The following is a 22,084-nucleotide window of genomic DNA, read 5'->3' on the forward strand; positions in this document are numbered from 1 at the left end:
CAGGAGAACTGGAAGCAGTCAGGTCTAAATTTACCTCCAAGCTCCTGGCTGTGCAAGTTTGGGCAACTTACTTCATGTCTCTGAACATCCATTTCTTTTACAAAGTAAGGGTTAGAGAAAGGTTGTTACAGTAATACATGTGAAACTCATTACTCTTAAAAGAGTAAAGAGCACAAAAGAAATGGCCAATAATTGTGGTTTCCTATCAGATATATGTCCCAAATTAGAAAGTAGAATAAACAAAACCATGACACTAGCTTTGAGATTCATTCCTCCTATAGTTTCATCTTTGTTGGAGGAATTAAAGAGAGTATTTCCAGCCAAGGCAAAGGAGTAGGAAGCCTAACTGGTTTCACTGCAGACTTGGTGGACAACTAGAATGGTTAGCACCAAAGTAATTTACTCCAGTGAACGTTTAATAATCTGTAATTATTATACTTGAATGCTTGAGTGAGTGATTGATTGACTGTCTGCTTCTTTCTCCAAATCTTGAGTTACATAGAAGTGAGGACCTCATATGTCTAGATTTCCATTGCAGTCTCAGGGCTGAGCATAGTGTCTTACACTGAGTAGACATTCAGCTGAAAGAATAATGAAAGTGAGGTTGGAGACCCTGGGTAGGTAGTTAAGCTTAGACAGAAGGAATAGGCAGGGCTAGAATTGGGGAAATGGGAATTAGTCACAGCAGCCCTAAAGAGCAGTTTGGAAAGGTATCATCCTACGGCAGGATAATTGCTCTGACTTGGACTTGTATAGCTCTGCTGGGACCACAGATGCTGATCTAAGAATGAGGCCAAAGAGTCTATCAGAGATCTTAGCCATCCTGGGTTGCTGTAGTTATTGGTATAATTACCTACTCTTGAATTCTCTAGATCTTGTGGAGTTATTTCTATGTAGTTCTGCCTGAACGCAAGATGATTTCTTTGGGACCCTTCTCCATGTTACAATCTGTGAAGGTTGCTCCGCAACACTGCACTGAAAGGGAGCTCACCAGCGTTTCTCGGCTAACACCCTCGGCAGGTAGCAAGGCTGATACAGATACAGGAAGGGGTCAGGTGTTACAGCTGCTCCCTGCAAATCTTTATAACTAGATCACACATAGGTAATTTGGAGAAGGCTCTTTCTCTCTACGGAAAATACCCTGACAAAAGCTTTATTTCCATGGTTTTGTAATGGCCCAATGGGTTCATCTTGTCCATTGCCTAGAAAAGCTAATGCACTGAGAACAGCAGATTTTTACAATAGAGAGTTTAATTATTGCACAGCCAGCTAAATGGAAGACTGGGGTTTCATTACTCAAATTACAGTCTCCCTGTGATTTCAGAAGTTAGGGTTTTTTTTTTGTTTTGGTTTTTTTTTTTTTTTTTTTTTTTTTTGAGACAGAGTCTCACTCTGTTGCCCAGGCTGGAGTGCAGTGGCACGATCTTGGCTCACTGCAAGCTCCACCTCCCGGGTTCACGCCATTCTCCTGCTTCAGCCTCCCCAGTATCTGGGACTACACGTGCCCGCCACCACGCCCACCTAATTTTTTGTATTTTTAGTAGAGATGGGGTTTCACTGTTTTAGCCAGGATGGTCTCCATCTCCTGACCTCGTGATCCACCCGCCTCGGCCTCCCAAAGTGCTGGGATTACAGGCGTGAGCCACCGCTCCCGGCCGGGTTTTTTAAAGATAGTTTGGTGAACAGGGAGTTAGGGAATAAGAAACACGGATTGGTTTGGTCAGGGAAGAAATCATAGGGAGTGAAAGCTGTCTTCTTGCACTGAGTCAGTTCCTGGGTGGGGGCTACAAGACCAGATAAGCCAGTTTACTGGTCTGTGTGGCAACAGTTAGTCCATCAGAAATCAGGGTCTGACATTCTGGCCAACATGGTGAAACCCTGTCTCTACTAAAAGTACAAAAAATAGCTGGGCATGCTGGTGTGTGCCTGTAGTCCCAGCTACTCAGGAGGCTGAGGCAGGAGAATTGCTTGAACCCGGGAGGTGGAGGTTGCAGTGGGCCAGATCCCATCACTGCACTCCAGCCTGGTGACAGAGTGAGACACTGTCTCAAAAAAAAAAAAAAAAAAAAAAAAAAAAAGAAATCAAGGTCTTAAAAATACTTCAAACACTAATCTTAGGTTTTATGACAGCGATGTTATCTATAAGGGCAATTGGGGAGGTTAGGAATCTTGTGGCCTCTGACTGCATGACACCAGAGCCATAATTTCTAATCTTGTGGCTAATGTGTTAATTTTACAAAGGAGGTCTGATCCCCAGGCAAGGAGTGGGTTTGTATCAGAAAGGGGTTGATGCCATCTTTGTTTCAAAGTTAAACTATAAACTAAACTCCTCCATAGTTAGCTTGGCCTATGCCTAGGGTTGAACAAGGGCAGCATATTAGTCCATTTTCAGACTGCTGATAAAGACATACCTGAGACTGGGCAATTTACAAAAGAAAGAGGTTTAATTGAACTTACAGTTCCAGTTGGTGTAGAAGCCTCACAATCATGGCGGAAGGCAAGGAGGAGCAAGTCCCATCTTACATGGATGGCAGCAGGCAAAGAGAGAATGAGGAAGATGCAAAAGCGGAAACCCCTGATAAAACTATCAGATCTCATGAGACTTATTCGCTCCCATGAGAACAGTATGGGGGAAACTGCCCCCATGATTCATTTATCTCCCACCAGGTCCTTCCTACAACATGTGGAAATCACGGGAGTACAATTCAAGATGATATTTGGGTGGGCACACAGAGCCAAAACGTATCAGGCAGCTTGAAGGTTATAAGCAACATGGAATTGGTTAGGTCAGATTTCTTTCATTGTCATAATTTTTGTAAAGGTAATTTCAATTTGAAGCAGAAATATGAGATATATGGATTGAAGGCAAATACCACTTCTTTGCATTGACAGTGACCATTTTTCTAGAAATGTTCTCCTTAACCACAACCTCTGCCATACCCACTTCCTCCCTCCGTTCCTCAAAAAACAAACAAAAACATAAAATCTGCACATGAATTGCTTCTCCCTATCTCCACCCCTTGATGTAAAATAAACGACTTTCAGACAGATAAAAATTAAACTACATCTAGCCCTAAATGTTGCAGAGTCATCACTGAAAATAAAATAAAATATTAAGAAATGGCCAAAGCCAGAAAATTGAGGTTATAAGACATCAAGATCCATAAACAGAATTTCTCTCTTCTTAAGAAAATTTTTTAACCTCTAATTTTTGAGGGCAGAATTTTATATATGTCCATTTTATTATATCTTTAATAGTGTAGTTAAATTTTTCTATATTATTATTAGTAGTAGTTTCTCTACTTGGTCTAATAGGAAGATTTTTGTAAAATGTCTCCCACTTGGACTATGTATTAATCAACATTCCCTGTACTTCTCTCAGTTTTTTCATTTAAGCATTTTGAAACCATGTTGTTCCTATATGTAAGTACAAATTTCATTTCTCTCCCAGTAAATGGTTTCTTTTTTGGTTAATTAATAATACTCTCTATTCCTAAGGATTTTTCCTTGTTCCTTCTTATTGTTGTAAAATTAATTTTGCCATATGATTCCATTTTTTTATAAGCCTTCATTTGATTAGTATTCACAAAATATATATTTTTCCTTTCCCTTTCCCTCTGTCAAACTTTGTGTCCTTATGCTTTAGAATGATCTCTGGGAAATAGTATATAACTGAATTTTGTTTAATATATCCTATCACAGGGCCAGGCATGGTGGCACACGCCTGTAATCCCAGCAATTTGGGAGGCCAAGGTGAGCAGATCCCTTGAGCTCAGGAATTCAAGACTAGCCTGGGCAGCATGGTGAAACCCCATCTCTACCAAAAATACAAAAAATTTAACTGGGCATAGTGGCATGCACTTGTGGTCTTGACTACTCAGGAGGCTGCAGTGGGAGGATTGCTTGAGCCCTGGAGGTTGTGGCTGCAGTGAGCTGAAATCATGCCACTGCACTCCAGCCTGGGTGACAGTAAGATTGTATCTCAACAACAAAAATGAAAATAAAAATAAAAACTATCACTGAATCTTAATGTGCAAATTATATTTACTGTAATTTCTGATGCTTTGGGGTTTATTCCTATCACTTTATCTTTCACTTTTTCCTTGCTCAGGCTTTCTCTCTACTTGTATCCCACCCCACCTGACCCCCTACCTGGAGTCATCATGACACCAGCTTCTGAACTCATAGCTTGGCTTTGCATTTCTTACAACTTATATCTGCATTCCTTAAGCCCGGGGGGCTTCCTTTCTTTACTTTTGGGATGAATCTTAATTTTTTAAAAAGTATATTTTGTCCAACATTTATTTTGTGTGTATGGAACAGGAAGAAGGCTCATGTTAGCTTTGTCAGCCATATTGCTGAAAGTTTACTACATGACTTGCCTGTTTTCTTTCCATGTAGGAATGGGAGCTTTTGCTATACACACACACATACACACATACATACATGTGCAATTGCAGAATTGAGATTTTTCTATCAAAATATTGAAGCCCAATATATAAACATAGAATAAAAGCTTGATTAAAAAGCCCTACCTATTCAGCCACAGTTCCCCTTCCCCTTCTCCCTGAGCACCTATTTGTGGCATGCTTGAAAACATCTGCTAACGGCCCAGGCAGTCTATCTCATATCCTCACTATGTTTAATCATGTATATCTCAATCATGGGAAATTGTAAAGCTTCTCTTTGTAGTCTTCTAAGTGATTTATGCAGTTGATTACAGCTGAATTAGAAAAGAGCTGAAGTTGTCAACTTCTAACTATGTATTTTGTTAAATTTCACCAACAGTCAGTCCTAATGTAGGTAATAGGGCCTATGTGGACCAAAAATAAAACCTTAAGCCTGCCCAACACACTGAATGAATCCCCTACCACACTCAAAGCCAAGAGAAACCTGAAAAGCTGAATTTCCCATTATGATGAAAAGGGCAGTCAGACATGTCTCATTATACCCCTCTTCTTTTGGAGTTTAGGCACAACTGACCAGCATTAATATTAAAATAGAGATCAAAAGACTGACAAAATAGATGCTGTAGCAATAAGACACCGAATTCCAACCTGACTCTGATGTAGTAACACATGACAAGTGAAGGAAATCAAAATATTTTACCCCAAAATATATTTTCTTGATGTATTTTGAAATGGCCTTGCAAAACCATCTTTTGTGGGGAAAATTTGCATCTGTAGAGAATCTCCTTCCCTTTCTAGGTCTTTCTGCAAATCCAGGAGAAATTAAATGAGAGTCTGGTACTTTTAAGGTCTTAAAAAGTACATTTACCATATTCTCTCTAAGGTTACTGCCTGGAGGCTTCATCTACATAACAAGAACCTTGGCATCTACAACCCCCATTATCTTAACTCAAGCATTTACTTCAAGTCTTTAGATAATGTTTAACTCAACCAATTGCCAATCAGAAAATCTTTTAATCCACCTATGACCTGTAAGTACCCCTGAACCAATGTATACCTTACATATATCGATTTATGTCTTTGCCTGTAACTTCAGTCTCTGTAAAATGTGTGAAACCACACTGTTACTCTCAGGAACACTTTCTCAGGACCCCTTGGGACTATCATGGTCTATAGTCACTCATATTGGCTTAAAATAAACCTCTTTAAATATTTTATGGATTTTGGCTTTTTTAAAACATGATTTTATATGGTCAAATGGCATAAATAGCCAATGATTTCACAAATTAGAGGACTTGAATTATTCCATTCCTGGATCTGCTAGTTTCTCTGTGTGACATCAGTGAGTCCCTGTCTCCATCATTTCCACATATACAAGCAGATTGGATCAGACAATGAAGCAGAATGATGATGTGTACCTTTTGGGCTCAATCCAAAAAACCTTGCAGCTCCTACTTCTGCTGTTTTTGGATCTCCCAGGCATGTGAACCAGGCTGGGATAGCTGGCTAGCCAGAGGTGCATGAGATGTCAGCTGAACCTACCCCACCCAGACCAGAACTAACCACCTGGAGCCAAGCCCAAATGTTTTTATTGAATTAAGTGCTAAATAAATGGGTGCTATTTTAGTTCACTACGTTTTAGGTTGTTTTATTATGCAACAATGCTAACATAGCATTATTACCATTCTACTGAAAGAAATATGGTAGAGTTGTATCCCTAGGCCCCACCAGGATCTGGTCGTGAGCCTTCCGCTAAGGCTGCTTTCAGTTGCCTCTCCATCCTCCAGGCCAGATAGAATTGACTGAGAGCCCCCTGATGTATTTCAGATGGACAAGAAAAAGCTCCTGAAGGAGACATACACTTTCAGGAACACAAACTTCTCTGAAAGACACATCAGGGAAGATTTATGGAGGCAGTTGTGTGCTCTGACTGCTGATCAGCTTTCTTATGTCTCAGTACAATACAACCTGTGGGTCACCGGGTTGGTGGTGGTACTCTCCCCGGCTGCACCTCTTAGAAGAGACCTGAGGTCAACAGACAGAAAGCCAGAGACTGAGGGAAAAGGTTTCCTAATCAAAGATACATGCCATTTCTTATCTTTGAAGATGCCAGGGTGCCGATTCCAGGATGCAACAAATCTACAGCATGCTTTAAAGAAGGATTTCCATAAGCATCCTAGCATATTCTCACGACAGTCCTGGACAAAAGAATGGCAGATATTCTCACATCCCCAGATACTGGGGATGAATAATATCCCCAGGATATTAAGGATATTAAGCAGTTTCTCTAAAGATCCTCCCTGAGTATCCATTGCACTTAGGGCAGGGTTGGGGTTCAAACCAGAAGTTTCTGACTCCAAATTCTGAATTGTTTAGTGTACAACAATATTTTTCAATTGTATGTATCATCAAAGACTATTTGAGTTGGGGGAGACCTGTGGAAATTATCTAGCCCATCACCTTTGCTTTCCAAATTAACAACAACAAAGATTCATTAGGTGCTTACCATGCTTAGTACAGCCTGCGGAGCACTTTACAAACATTAACTAATTCTCCCAGCCTCCCTGTGAGGTGACTGATTGTATGATTTGTAGATTAGGTAATGGAGATTTGATGCATAAGTCATTTCCCAAAGTTGAGCCAGTCAGTGGCAGAGCTAGGATGTGAATCCACATCTGTCTGACTCCAGACCCTGAGCACACTGCCACAATGCCATATAGCCTTTTAGATGGGGACACTGAGGCCCAGAGAGTGGAAGGTCTTGTCCAAGATCATGAAGCCAGTTTGATTAATTGTCCATTAATTCATCAATTATTGAGGATCTGCTATTTGTCAGGAAGCAGGCTAGCCAATGGGAACACAGGCATGACCTAGATATAGTTGTGCACTTGAGAGTAATTAAGGGAGAAGATAAGAAGTGACTATAAATTACTTGAATAAAAGATAGTAAATGACAAATATCTCAGGGAAGATAGTGAAGAGGTTGTCAAAGTTTGGAGGAGGTATGCACGACTTTCATTTGGGAAAAATTTGAAAATTCTTCACAGAGAAAATGGTTTAAAGGTCTTGTTTGAAAGAAGAGTAGAATTTGCATATTGGCAATGGGAAAGAGGAAGAAGTTCAAGCTGCAAAAAGCGCATAGAGGTGGAGGTAAAAGGAGTTATTTCATCATAGACTCAGGGCTGGTCTCCAGGTAGTTGTGTCTATCCAGTCCTCCTTGTAACCCCTATAACTATCTCATGGTTTAAGTGGAACCTCATTTTGATGATGCAATGTCAAAACTTCCTTTGTCAAAAGGGGCGGTAAACCTAAATCCCACCCAAAAATCCTTGGTAGGAAGGGAAGGCTGCTAAGAAGGACAAAGTGTAGGGAAGCAAAGATGGGGACCAAAGAAACAAAGGAAGATCAATCCTGGGACTACCTGTTCAATATTTAAGCAGAGCAACGACCCATTAAGGCAACTAATTTAAAGTCGCTAATGTTTCTATTTTCTTCCAACTAATTGAATAATTCATGACCAGTTACTAATGAAAATTATATATATATATATATATATATATATATACACACACACACACACACACACACACACACACACACACACACACGCCTGTGTTCCAGGGACAGTGTCCCACAGTAAAAGCACATTGAAACATTGAAGCTTATCTATCAAGAAGGATAAAGGAGCCAGAATTTGCTTCTCCTCCCAACTGTGGGATGCTGCTGGGAAATGTGTGAGCAAGATCCAAAGATCCAGGGTCTGATTTTGATGGAGGATTTTGTGGCTTCCCATCTTCCCACTGGCACCTGCCTGGATCACATTTTCCCCCAGATATTCCCGTTACCCCCTGCACAGCTTCATCCCTATGTGTATTTGCATATTTTCTTTATTCTACCAGCAATGTCTTCCCAAACTTTCTCTTTATTTAATGCATTACTTAGGATTACCTGCTCTGTGAAGCCTTCTTTAATTATTCCCCCAGTTTAGTAAATACCCCAAGCCAGCCCACACCACCTTCATGTATCCATTGTGGTGCAGATACGTAATGCCCTGCTTCCTTCAATAAATGGTGAAGTACTGGTAGGCCGAGATCTAGTTGGCATATACCACACACATGTGGCAAACTAAAAACATTGAGAGTGGATGTCTTAAAAAATGCACAGAGCACTATCCAGTGACGTAACACTGTGGGCTCCTGAGGACATGGGACTGGCTCCCTGGGGTTAGTTAAAAGCTGAGGGGACAGTGCTGATTCATTCTTAGCTCAGAGAGGGAGATGCCTCACCTTCTAGAGCCTCATAGCTCCTGAACACCCTCACAGCAGCACTGATGACACAGAAACACTGCCAATGCAAGAGAAGCTGCACGTACTTCCTTCCAGGATCTAGACTAGGTAGGTATAATTTCACAGCTCAAAGATCTTAGTTGTGGTAGCTAAGAGTAGAGCTCAAGTCATCTGGGAATTTAAATGTGGGCTCTGAATTCATAGCTCCACTATGTACTAGTTGAGTAAACTTAGACAAGTGACTGAAACTGTGTAAGCTTGAGTTTCCTTCTTTGTTGAATGGGGATAATTATAGTACTTACCTTATGGGTTATTGGGAAGTTTTAAATAAGATAAAATGTGTGATGGGCAAGGTGCCTAGAACATACCAAATGCTCAGTAGATGGTAGGCTGCACTGCATCCCATTAACCGTTTGCATACTGTGAGCTCCCAGCTACCTCCCTTTATCTATTTACCCGTCTCCATCCATTCATTAATTTATTCATATATTCTTCCATTAAACCAATTACTATCCCAAGCCAGTTCCCTGTTAGGCATTCATTCTACAGACAGACATAAATCACTGTTTTTTCCATCATGGGACTGTGAGAGCTGAAGAAGGTGACAGATGTATTTACGACAGACTGCAATAAGGGCAGTGATAAAAAACAGTACTGGGGCTATGAGTGCTCAGAGAAAAGAGTGGCTTGCTGGGCTGCGGCTGCGGTAGGGGCTGAGAAAATGCTTCACAGAGCAGATGCTGAGGCTGGATTTTGAAGATAAACAGCAATTTTTTGCCTGGAGAGAAAGGGTGGGGAGGAGGAAAGGGCCTTTCAGGAAGAATATGATCAGCACTCGGACCTAGAAAGCAAGGCATACTGGGGGAAGGGAGAAATGGCCCATGTGCTGGAGGCTGTAGGACACAATGGGTTGGGGGTCAGGAGTAGACAGAGGCAGGGTACAGCCCAGGCTAGGAGGGAGCCTTGTGTAGCAAGTGATGGCAACTTTTAATCCCATTAAACAATATGCCCTTCATCCTATTGGTTCTTGCTTCTATAACAAGGTAAATGTATCTCTGTGAGGTAATAATACCGATAAAAATAAGACTAATAATCATAGCAATGATCAGAATAATAAATAACACAATAAAAGAGCACATATGTTCAGCATGCAAATATGTCTGGCTCTGTGCTAAATGCTTTACTGGGATTATCTTATTCTGGCCTATGGAAATCCTTTGAAGATGGTAGCATTCTCACCCCCTTATAGTTAGTTAAATCATGGTTCTTCTTCCTGGGACATCAATATTGTATGAGGAATTGAGCAAGTGTTAAATTAATTAACTGAAAAATACTATAACTTAAACTAAAATAAACATGCATATACTATGAAATAAAATGGCATGATCTTTTAAAAGATGAACCTGAAATGTGAACTTTATGACAGATTCTTTTGAGCACAGCTGCAGACCCTCTGGGGGTAAGTTCATTTTCATATGCCTTTAAGAAGACTTCATTTCAAAAGCTCAAGAGGCCCCCAGTGCAAGTGACAGAAAATCAGGACAATGTTCTAGGTGGGGGAGGAACATGGCCAAATTTACTGTGTTTTCAAATGATCACCCAGCTGTCAGGGTAGAGCATGCATTTATCGGTGCCAACGCTGCTGCAGGAATCTGGATGAGGGACAATGAGACCTCAACCAAGCTAGAGGCAGTGGCTCAGGAAGGGGAAGATGGATTTATGAGACGCTGCAGGCCAATGGGCAGGACTTGGATGACAGTGATTGTACTAGCTATTCCTTATTGAGGGTTGAACGTGGGACAGGCACTGGGCTAAGCATCTCTTGGGTATTAATTCACAACCCACATGTGATGTTGGTATTATTAGCACTATTTCCAGAAGGGAAAACAGAGCTCTTATTAATTAGCTTAAGAGCATTTAGTTAGTCAATGGTGGAATTAAATTTCAAACACAAAGTCCCGCTTTCAAAAACCGCTACCTAAACTAAATAAACCTATGGAATTTCTTCTGTACATCCAAAGAAATCTTCCTCTGCTTTATTTGAATGCCACTGTCCTTTATACTGCCCATAAGATGCTGGGGAGTGGCTCCTTAATAGCAGCCTCATAAAACCCCAGCACTAACATGAAGTCAGAAGTTCAAACCTCCACTATCCTTCCTCTGTCTGGCTAAGAATGATGCACTTCAGCCTCCACCAGGCCTCTCAGGAAGAAGGCATAGCTACAAAAATACCTTGGAGCTGCTTTTAACCATGTGCTCAATTCCATGGCACTGGTTCTCGGCTACCCATTCCATCTTCTGGAAACTAGTGGGCACCGTGGCCCGGGGATGAGGCCTAAGGAAGCAGAAAGAGGGCAGGTGCTCCCAATCTGGACCAGGCAGCCCACGGCAACCTCAATGGCAGGAGAGGGCAGAAACAGTGAAAGACAGAGGATTCAGACCATCCTATTTGGGATTTTGGAGGCTAATGGAGCATTTCCAAAATTCTGTTCCTATAGATGCTTCTGTTCAGCAAGTCATTAATAAATGTTCCAATGGGAGAAATAAGAGTTTGCAGTCAACATAGTATCAATACATTGAGTTAAACAAAGCAGCCTAGCTTTCTGTACTGCAGGACTTCTCAGAGTTTTTAATAGACTAAGATTCATTCAAGAATCTTCAAGAGAAAGAGGGAGGGTGGAGAATTTCCAAACTTTTTTTTTTTTAATCATGAAATTCTTTTGTCCAAGGAAATCTTGATGGGCTGTCTTGGGTAAGTTTGGAAGTATAGGGCTGACATATACTGTCCTTACTCTTCTCCTGCAGAAATTGTATCCCATGGTAGCAGCAAAATCACAAGCATACTGTGATTAAGCTGTTTTGGAAATTGCTTTAATAGCATCCACTTGAGCACATTTACTGTGCTACTTGTCAGTGAGTCTAAGGGGGAAATAGAATTCTCTGGGCGTTGGTACCAGGAGGATTTGGTTTATCACAGATTCCTCTTGCACCATCAATATGAGAGCTATAAAGCTGAGCCATTTTCCAGTGATCTTTGATGTTAATACGCTCATTTACTCAACTAATATTTATTAAGCCATTTCTATGTGTTAGATTTATAAATATGAATCTTATATTTTAGAGAGGAGGATAGTAGACAAGCAAAAATTTAAAATTTTAGTCTGAACTACTACTGTGGAAGAAGTTAAAAAAGGAGGGTGACGTAAGAGATAGTAGCAGGTTGGGGACTGAAAGGAGCAAAACTGTAGATTGGGTAGTCATGGAAGTTGGTTTTTAGGAGCTGACATTTGAAAGGCGAGAAGGGGCTGGCTAGGAGAGCAGCTGGGGGAAAGAAAGAGGCATGGCAAGGAGAAGGAGGAACAAGTTCTCAGATGCTAAAGAAGGAACCGTTTGCTGTGTTGGTGAAACGTGAAGGAAGCCAGTTTGGCTGGAGCACAAGGAAGTGCAGAGCAAATGATGTTCGAAAAGAGGGCAGGAGCCAGAGCCAGATCCGCAAGCCAAGGTGCAGAGCTTGGATCATAGTCTAAGAATAACAGAAAACTGTCAAAGGATTTTAAGCAGGGGAGGGGCTTTCTCTGGTTTATCTTTCTAAAAGATTGCTTTGGTAGTTTTGAGGAGACTGAATGCAAGGAGAGTATAGTTGTAAGGAGCAGTTAATAAATGACAGTGGTCATGATGGTGACAAAGAGGAAGGACAGATATGGAAGAGATACAAATAAATTTCTTCATGCATAGTTTTCTGAGACCCCATCTAACTTGTAAATTAACTTAAAACAGACTTTTATTAATAATCTGACTATGAAATTCTTCTCTAAGAGGGGAAACATTTTAAAGTAAGTGGCAAGTTTTATGCAAAAATACTTTCTATGTAACATTGTTTATCATGATGAAATATTAGGAGCAGCCCAAATGCCTAATAGTAGGGGCTTAGTTAAGAAAATTATGATGCATAAAAATAATATTTTTGAAAAATTCATTGACATAAAAATGTTTAGAATGTGATGTTAAAAAATGAATTCAGGTTGGTAATGAAGGGAGGAAAGGCTATAGACTTGGAGTCAAGAGTGTTTATGGAATATGTATGTGTGGAGAGGACTTAGGAGGGGGATTTCTGGTGAATGATACAGAAGTAAAGATGAATAGGTAAAGCTATACGAAATTTCAAGTAACCCTAAATGCCTTACCCAGAACAAACATAAGATTGCATGTATTCATTCCCTGATGCATGCCATCTGAACTTTCCAAGGTGGTCTACATTCAGCCTTTTATCAGGTCTTCACAATAATCTTCTGATGTAGGGCTTGGCATCCTCATTTTACAGAAGAGGAAACTGAAGTTCAGGGAGAACCAATGATACTTCCAAAGTCATGCAAGTTAAAACTGACTTGGGCTGGGATTAGCACTCAGACCTGTCTGACTTTAAGGTGACTGCTCTGTATCACTACAAAATGGTTTAAACCTGGGGTTTCCCATATGAGTTCCAAAAACGAATTCCATCATTTTCTTCTGCCTCAATTTGTGATCTGACAGCTTAACATGTAGAGCTTGGTTTTTTACAGGATTCAAGATTTTACAAGATTAAGAATTAGACATCCTCTCAACAGATAGCAAACATCTACTATGTGTCAGGCACTGATTTAGGCCAGGAATGTAAAATAATAAGACAATCCCTACCTTCAAATAACTCTCTGTCTAGCTAAGGAAAGAGCCAGACAAAAGACAATGATATCACACAAAAATGAATCTAGTGCTTAATACATGTATAAAGGAAAGCTGGGAGGATTCAGTGAATTGTGACTGTGACAATCAACAACGTCTTCATAGAAATGTGCCATGCATGTTAAGCTTGAAAAGACAGGTAGAATTTCATTAGTGTATCAGGTTGGTGCAAAAGTAATAGCACCAACATAATAGTACATAGTCGTTAAGTTAAAAGGTTTGAGACTCAGACTGCCAGGTTCTCCCTGGCCCCACCACTTACTAGAATGTCCCCTCAGACAGATTACAATAGCTGTTTGTACCTTAGTGAAATTATCTGTAAAATGGGAATTACCACTGTACCTGCTTCATAGGGTTGCTGTGAGGATCAAATGACATAAGATGCATATATCATTTAAGCTGTTTCTTGGAATAAGTTAAGAGTCAATAACCCTTAGGGGCCAGAGAGGTGGTTTCATGCAGAGAGCATGGCATGGGAAACAGCACTGAGGACAGAGCACAACAATCTAGGAAAGACAGTGGAGAATAGAGCTCTGTGTGGCTTTGAGTGTCATGTTCATAGCCTGAACATGTGTGAAGGTGCTAGATAACCACTGAAGCTGTGGGAAAAGGGGGATGACCTGATCAGAGCCAAGTTACAGGAAATGGAGAAGTGAGAGGCAAGAAGAGGAGACTACTAGTTTTTCTATCTACTCAGCTAGAGACTACTGAGTAGATAGAAAAAAAAATGGTTTGGAAATTAAGCAGTGACAAGTTGATTTCCTTCATATACGAAGTCACATAGATGGTAGAAGAAGAAAGAAGGGATGAAGAGAAGGAGGAGGAGGAAGAGAAGTAGGAGGAGATGAAGATGAAGGAGGAAGAGATGTAGAAGGAGAAAGAGGAGGAGGAGGAAGAGGAGGAGGAAAAGGAGGAGGAGGGGAGGAGAGAAGAGAAGAGAAGGAGAAGGAGAAGGAGAAGAAGCAGCAGCAGAGGAAAAGGAGCAGGAAGAAAATATCTGCTTTTTAATAAATGCTGGGTTAGGCACTGTGCTGAGTTATTCTTACAACCCTGTGAGACAGGAGTGGCTTGGAGAAGTAGAGTGATTTGCCCTGAGTGACATAGCTAGGTAGCAGCAGAAACAAAAGTTGAATTAATTCTATCTAATTTACAATACCACTCTTGATCATTCTGTTATTCAGCCTGCTAAAAAGTAGGCGCAGACCCCTGTTTCTGGCTCCCAGACTGAGGATGTCTCCTACTAGAATGTTCTGCCACTTTGTACTCTCTGACCGGCAACAACTTAAAGAACATCTACTTTGCAGAGGTCCTGGTGCTACACACTTTCCATATATAGTTGCTAATCTCAATCACTGTAAAATTTATACTATCCATTCTCATTCTCAGTTGAGGCACCTGGGGCTCAGAGAGGTTAGCTCTGGGTGTAGGGAGCATAGGTCTGCAGCCTCCAAGGGGATTTATCAGGGAGAAAGTGGCACAAGTTTTATGAGCACAGGGAAGCAAGGGAAGAATGCACAGATCTCCCTAGCATCTTTGGAATCAGAGGACAACCTTCTGACTTCCTGGCCAGATGTGCCAGGAGGGCCTACCTCGAGACTTGCTCCTCCGCTTCCTCTTCCCTGCCGATGTGCTGCGCAGGGGTGGTTGCAGCTGACCGATCTCGATGGGCGTGTTAGCGCGGAAACTCTCCTTGAACTTCTGCATCAGGGACTCCACTGTCTCCTGAGTCGCCTCAGCTGCTGCTATAAGGTAGCAATGGGGCTGAGGTTAGGGCTTGAGCCCACCCTCAGCACCTAGAGCACTGGGGCTGAAGTTAGGGCTTGAGCCCACCTTCAGCCCCTAGAGCACTAGACCTGGCCACCCTAATTCCTTGAAACTCCCTCCCTGACCCATTGAAGATATAGAATCAAAACCTTGCAGTCTAACTGCAGATGTATCTGTTGGATTACATACTTATGTATTCAACATTTACTACGTTCCAGGTACTGCTCTAGGCCCTTGAGACTAGAGGGCTTGGTCGTGAAATGTGAGACACAATTCATTATTCAAGTAATTCTTAGTTCAGTAGGAGACATATCCAGACAATTCTAACATTGTGCAATATTTTTGCAATAGAAGAGTACAAAATTCCAAAGGATCACTGAAAAGGGTCATCACACCCATCTGAGAATCAAAATAGGCTTCCAGAAGGAGGCAATATTTAGGATGAGACCTTAAAGATGAGTAAGAATTAGTAAAGAAAGCAGGATCAGGGTGAGGTTGGACAGAGCAGAGAAGACAGCGTCCTGGATGGAAGGAGAAGCATGTGTGATGATCTGAAACGAGAAGGAGCACGGATGCTTGAGCATTGGAAAGTAATTTATGGTAGTTACAAGAGAGCTTGCAAAGAGGAGGCTTATGGGAGATGAGATTGGAGTGATAAAGACATCTGGTAGGCCACATTTAGGAGTATAAATTTTATCCTAATGGCAAAAGGTATCACCAAAAGGTTTTAAACAGAAAATCTATGTGTTCAAATTAAATCACTTTGAAAACAATCACTAACTAAAGTATGGAGAATGCAAACTGAAGGAGGAAAGGAGGCCTGGACTGAGGCTTTGGAAGTAGCCAGTCAAAGGCAATGGTGGTCTGAACCAGGGCAGTGGCAGCGAAGGTGACACAATATCTTAGGAGACACAACCACAGTACTGTGGATATGTCGATCACTTAGCAACATATACCCATTTTATTGAGGGGATGTTGAAGCCCCAAAACACAATATATGTCTTACTCCAAGATAGGAAATGGCAGAGTCAAGCCTTCTAACACCTTGTCCAATATTCCGTTTGCACCAATACCTTCCAATGAATTGTTAGTAGCCACATTTCCAAAAAAGTTTCAAAGTTGAAACTGGTAGAAAGTTCAGTACATGGAGAAAGTAAGGTCAGAAGGGCAGAGAGAAAAAGTTGGAAGATAAAAGGAAAAAAATAACAGAAAAGCTTGAGAAGGAAGGAGGCAACATAAAAGGCAAGAAGAGAAAACCAAAAAGAAGAAAAGAAAAATTGCTGAATAGCCTCAGTGCCTTTGTTCTGAGAAATTCCCAAAGACAGCCCTGACTTTGAAATCTTCAAACTCATCCCTCCCTCCATCTGTGTCTCCAGAGGCTGGGAAATTTCTTCTTCAGTTTGAGCTACCTGCTGTCTGATGCCAAGAGATGGGATGTGCCAACAATTTCTGTTTCTTTGAAGGGGCTTCATCAGACTAGACAAAGAAGGCTCCTGAACAACCCAGTACCCATTTCTAAGGCGCTCCTGTTTTCTCAGGGAAGCTTATCAGGTTAGACAGATGTGTCTGCAGAGTAAGTCAGACCTAGAGGGCTTGTTCTGGTATTGGGTTCTGTGAGAAGTCCCATCTTGAGGGTTATAGGGAAAAGGTATGATTGCTAAGGTAAAAAGACAATTGACAATACAAATGAATCATGTGGTGGCATTGGTTTCCTCATCTGTCTCCCTTGCTATCTCTCTCCACAGATATCTTAATTAGGTGTACTTGAAGAAACCAAGAAGATTCCAGACATGGGGTCCCTTCTTCAAGCCTGGGATGAAGAATCCTTCAGCTATAGCCTGCAGTATGACTCTGAGAAGCAATGTCATGCCAAGTTTTGATTCCGTAAACCCAGAGAGAAAAGTGCTTTGCCCAATAGATGGGCTATACTTTGGTCAAAAGTCCAGAATAAGCCACAGTTTGGAATCCTCGAAGGGAATGACCCACACAGGATCTGTCAATATTCATTCATTCATTCATTTCTCCACTTATTCATTGATTCATTCATTCAACAGAATTTACAGAAAAAAACATTACATACCAATGCTGAGAACCAAAGACATAGCTTAGCTTGGGCTACCATAACAAAATATCATAGTCTGGTTGTCTTAAACAACAGACATTTATTTTTTTCACAGTTATGGAGGCTGAAAGTCCAACATCAGGGTGCCATGGTTTTGGTGAGATTTCTCTTCCTGGCTTACAGATGGCCACCTTCTCCTCCCTGTGTCCTCACTCGGTGGGGGAGCAGGGAAAGAGAGAGAGAAAGAGAGAGAGAAAAAAAAAACCTCTCCCTTCCTCTTTTGATAAGGCCAAAGTTCAATCAGATCAGGGCCCCTTCTTATGACCTCATTTAACTTTAATTACCTCCCAAAGATCCTATCTCCAGACACAGTCAGCCACGGATTGAATTGTGTTCCCTCCTTCCCCAATTTATATGTTGGAGCCTTAACTCCCAGTGTGACTGTATTTGGAGGTGAGGGTTTTAGCAGGTAATTAAGGTTAGATGAAGTCATAAGAGTGGGATCCCAATCTGATAGGATAGGTGGCCTTATAAACAGGGTAAGAAAGAAAGACCCCACTCTCTTTCTATGGACACAGACTGAGGGAAGGCTGTGAGAGGACACAGTGAGGGGTGGCATCTGCAGGCCAGGAAGAGGGCCCTCACCAGAACTCGAACATGCTAGCACCTTGATCTTGACTTTTCAGCCTCCAGAAGTACGAGAAAATAAATTTCTCTCGTTTAAGGCACCCAGTCTACAGGTTAAGCTTCCCTAATCCGAAAATCTGAAATCCGAAATGTTCCAAAATCTGAAACATTTTGAGCATGGACATGATGTTTGAATGTTATTCTCTAAGGCAAGCTTGTCCAACCTGCGGCCCAGGGGCCACAGGCAGCCCAGGACAGCTTTGAATGCAGCCCAATGCAAATTCATAAACTTCCATAAAACATTATGAGATTTGAATTTCTTTTGCTCAGAAGGTAGAGAATGATTGATAAGGGAAAAGGAGGGATTAAGGATGACTCCTGGGTCTCCTGGCTTGCACAGATACGGATGACAGTTCCTCAGTAAGAGGAGGAACACTGTAAGAGATGACATTTGAGAGGAGTGAACACTAGTTTTTTTTTTTTTTTTTTTTTTTTTTTTTTTTTTTTTTTGAGATGGAGTCTCGCTCTGTCACCCAGGCTGGAGTGCAGTGGCGTGATCTCAGCTCACTGTAACCTCTGCCTCCTGGGTTCAAGCAATTCTTATGCCCCAGCCTCCCGAGTAGCTGGGATTATAGGCATGCACCACCATGCCTATACTATATATAGGATTTTTAGTAGAGGTGGGGTTTCATTATGTTGGCCAGGCTGGTCTCAAACTCCTGACCACAAGTGATTGGCCTGCCTCAGCCTCTCAAAGTGTTGGGATTACAGGCATGACCCACTACGCCTGGCTCTTTTTTTTTAAAAACTTTTATTTTAGACTCAGGGGTACAAGTACAGGTTTGTTACGTAGGTAAACTGTGTGTCATGGGAGGTTGGTGTGCAGAGTATTTTATCACCCAGGTAATAAGCATAGTACTTGATAGGGAGTTTTTCTATATGGAAACCTCAGAATGTCTTTGAGACATCTAAGTGGAGATGCTGGGTAGACAGTGAGTTATGTGGATCACACATGCACAGGAGAGAGCTGGACGCTCTGGAGACTCAATACCCGCATTCCTTGGAAAAGGTAGACAGTGAATGTGGGTAGTGGCTGAGAACATGAGCTTCTGTGCTGGCAGAGCAGAGGCAGCAGAACCTGTACTCATTCCTAGCTTGTGCTGGCTGTTCTCCATTTACACTCCCAGATCCACCCTTCACCCTCTGGGCTGTGTCACCCGCTCCTTGTTAGATGGCTACTAGTTGGGTTTGGCCCGTGGGATGCCCCAGAAAGATATGGGAGGAATTTGAAGGTATTTCTTTCCTTGTTCCTTTCCTGTTTCAGTACCATGTTTCTGACAGAGACTGAGATTCTCAACAATTACAGCTTTCTGCCCAGTGTCCCTTTTCCACAGTCCCAGTTCTCACAGGGTCCAATAAAACCATGTCTCCCTGCCTTTTCAGTTCTAGGAATCAGTAGTGGCTTCCTGACATTCTTGTCCTGGTACCTTGAAATTCCTATGTTGATTCTTTTTACTTTGCCTACACCTCTATAAATAGCCACTTCATTGAATTCTTTTTAAAAAAATCCCATTTGAAGATGTGTTCTTTGTCTAGCTGGGACCTTGACTGATATATCATTCAGCTTCCCTCTCTTTTTTTTCATGGCTCTGACATTCAGCAATTCCTAAAGGTCAGCCTCTTTCCATTTTGCAATTTCTGTCTTCTTTCTTCTAAGCTGATACAGATTTGAGTGGCTGGGAAAAGAAGGCACACAGAGAAGGAAGGGGTGATCCCCTGAGCTGCAAGGGTTTCTAATCCCCACTGTAGCAAATCCCATCCATCTGTTTGGCTGCTCTTGCCTCAGTGACAGTGCCAAGAGCCCAGGCAGACTTAGAGGGGGAAGTGCTTTGCAAACCTCTCCATGGCCAATTTCATCCTGCATACAACTCCCCCTATCCCTGATCCCTCCCGACCCCATTCAGCAGCTCTATCGATATCAGTATATCAAGTTGTCCAAACAAGCCACATTACCTCCTGGTACCCGCTGAGCTCTGACTCCCCAGAGCGGCAAAATGCTCACCCATCGCCTGGATGAATGCAACAGATGCTGCTTGATCTGAGCATCGCGGCAGGCCCAGGAAAGGGAGGGAGAGGAGGGGAACACTGCCTCTTTCTAATTGACATATAAGAGATTGTCAAGCTTAATGGTAATAAACCACTGGGGCCTGAGGAAGAAAGCCCTGGTCCCCAAGCCAAGCTAGAGAGAGAGGACAGGAAAGGAAAAGACAGGATGGAAGAGGAGAGAAAAAAAAAAAAAAAACAAGAATAAAAGAGATAACTGTGCTCAGTAATAAAGAAGAGAAGACAAGAAAGAGGGGGTCTAAGATGAGTGGGAAGAAGCAGAGAGGCAGAACACAGAAGGGAAGGACTAAAAAGGACAGGCGAGGAGACATGGAAAAGAAAACAAGAAAAAGAAGAAGGCATAGAAGTTCATGGTGAGGGATACAAGACTACAAACTGGGTTCAGTGTATACCGCTCGGGCAATGAGTGCACCAAAATCCCACAGATTACCATTAAAGAATTTACTCATGTAATGTAATACCACCTGTTCTATGAGAAAAAAAATTAAAAGGATAGAAGGACTAAGTTCTAGTGTTCTATAGTGCTGTAGGGTGACTGTAGTAAACAATAATTTATTGTATTTTTTCAAATAGCTAGAAGAGAGGATTTTGAATGTTCCTAACTCAAAGAAATGACCAAGCTTTGAGGTGATGGATATGCTAATTACCCTAATTTGATCATTGCACATTATGAGCATATATCAAAATATCATACCGTACCCCATAAGTCTGTACAATTATTATGTGTTCATTAATATTATTTTTAAAAATAAGGGATAAAAGGGGGTGGACCCTGAGTCATTTTGCAAAGGCATAAGTGTTGTATGGGTTTCCAGATACCAGGCAAGCCTTAGCTTCTACCCTGGAGAAGAGGCACTACACATTATGTCTACACTGATACTCAAAAACTGTACACTTAAACTGTATATTTAAACTGTCATCCTCAAGACAAGCCTGGCCAACATGATGAAACCCCATCTCTATTTAAAATGCAAAAATTAGCTGGGTTTGATGCAGGCCTGTAATCCCAGATATTCAGGTAGCTGAGGCAGAGAATCGCTTGAACCTGGGAGGTGGAGGTTGCAGTGAGCTGAGATCACGCCATTGCACTCCAGTCTGGGTGAAAGAGTGAGACTCTGACTCAAAACACACACACACACACACACACACACCCCCGTTATCCACCGTTCTCTTCCCCCACGCAACCACCCAGGACGTTCCACCGATGAAACGCATATGGGTTTGAGTTGAAGTTCCAGTATCACTTTGCTCGCCCTCTTCAATTTTTTCAGACATCATCAGTCTGTGACATAAGAAAATTCACATTTCTTGAGCACCAACTTTTTGCTAGGTAGGGAGCCTGGTATTTCCTTATGGTTTCTCACTTGTTCCCCCTAACAACCTGGAAAGTTAAGTATTAATAATTTCTGTTCAGAGATGAGGATAGCAAGACTCAGAAATGTTACATGGTTTTTCCAGGTCATGCAGCTTAGGGACGATAGAACTGGGATTTGGACTCAGGTTATGGTGACTCCAATGCTCTGGCCTTATCTGTTGCTGCACTCTATAAGTACTCCCTCTCTGGTTGGCTGGAGATGGGTATGTTAATCTTGGAGTTTGGATGTGACATTTCTGGGCCTGGATGGTGGCTCTGATAGCTTAGCTCCTCTTCAGATCATCTAGGCAAAGAGCCCTAGGAAATCTGGTGCTGCCTGAAACCAGTGAGTGGCTTGACTTGATTGGAGATTAGCCTGTTATGCCAGTGGACCCTTGCTCAAGACTGTCCACCATGGAGGTTCCAGGGTTGACCCATGTCTCACTGCAGAACTGTACTAAGAGAACCAAGAAGCAAATGGACATTGACCATATTGCCTAGTGCAGGTGAGAAATCTCACTCGAGTTCCAGTATCAACTCTCCATGTGCATGGCCTTGAGTTACTTCTTTCACTTTTGCAACCCCTGGTATCCTCCTCTGTAAATGTCTGCAGGGTTCTTGGGACGATTAAATGTAATTATGTACAAAAAATGTCTAACAGAGCTTCTAGAACATAGTAAATGCTCAAGAAAGAGTAGTCATTACTCATCTTTCTCTCACTAACCTGTCAGCTTCATGA

General features: G+C 41.8%; 1 protein-coding gene across 3 annotated transcripts in view; it reads right to left on the reverse strand.

Moving 5' to 3' along the window:
• Positions 1 to 22,084, reverse strand: part of ASTN2 (astrotactin 2) — a 991,946-nt gene that overhangs the window by 703,211 nt on the left and 266,651 nt on the right. For 2 of the 3 annotated variants that reach the window (NM_001365069.1, NM_001365068.1), the window contains exon 4: positions 15,004 to 15,156. The exons of the other annotated variant lie outside the window; for it this stretch is intronic. In NM_001365069.1, the coding sequence (NP_001351998.1) occupies positions 15,004 to 15,156 (153 nt within the window). The remainder of the gene's footprint in view (positions 1 to 15,003; positions 15,157 to 22,084) is intronic. 3 annotated transcript variants of the gene reach the window in all.

The sequence above is a fragment of the Homo sapiens genome, chromosome 9 (genome assembly GCF_000001405.40).
Source record: "Homo sapiens chromosome 9, GRCh38.p14 Primary Assembly".
Classification (NCBI taxonomy): domain Eukaryota; kingdom Metazoa; phylum Chordata; class Mammalia; order Primates; family Hominidae; genus Homo; species Homo sapiens.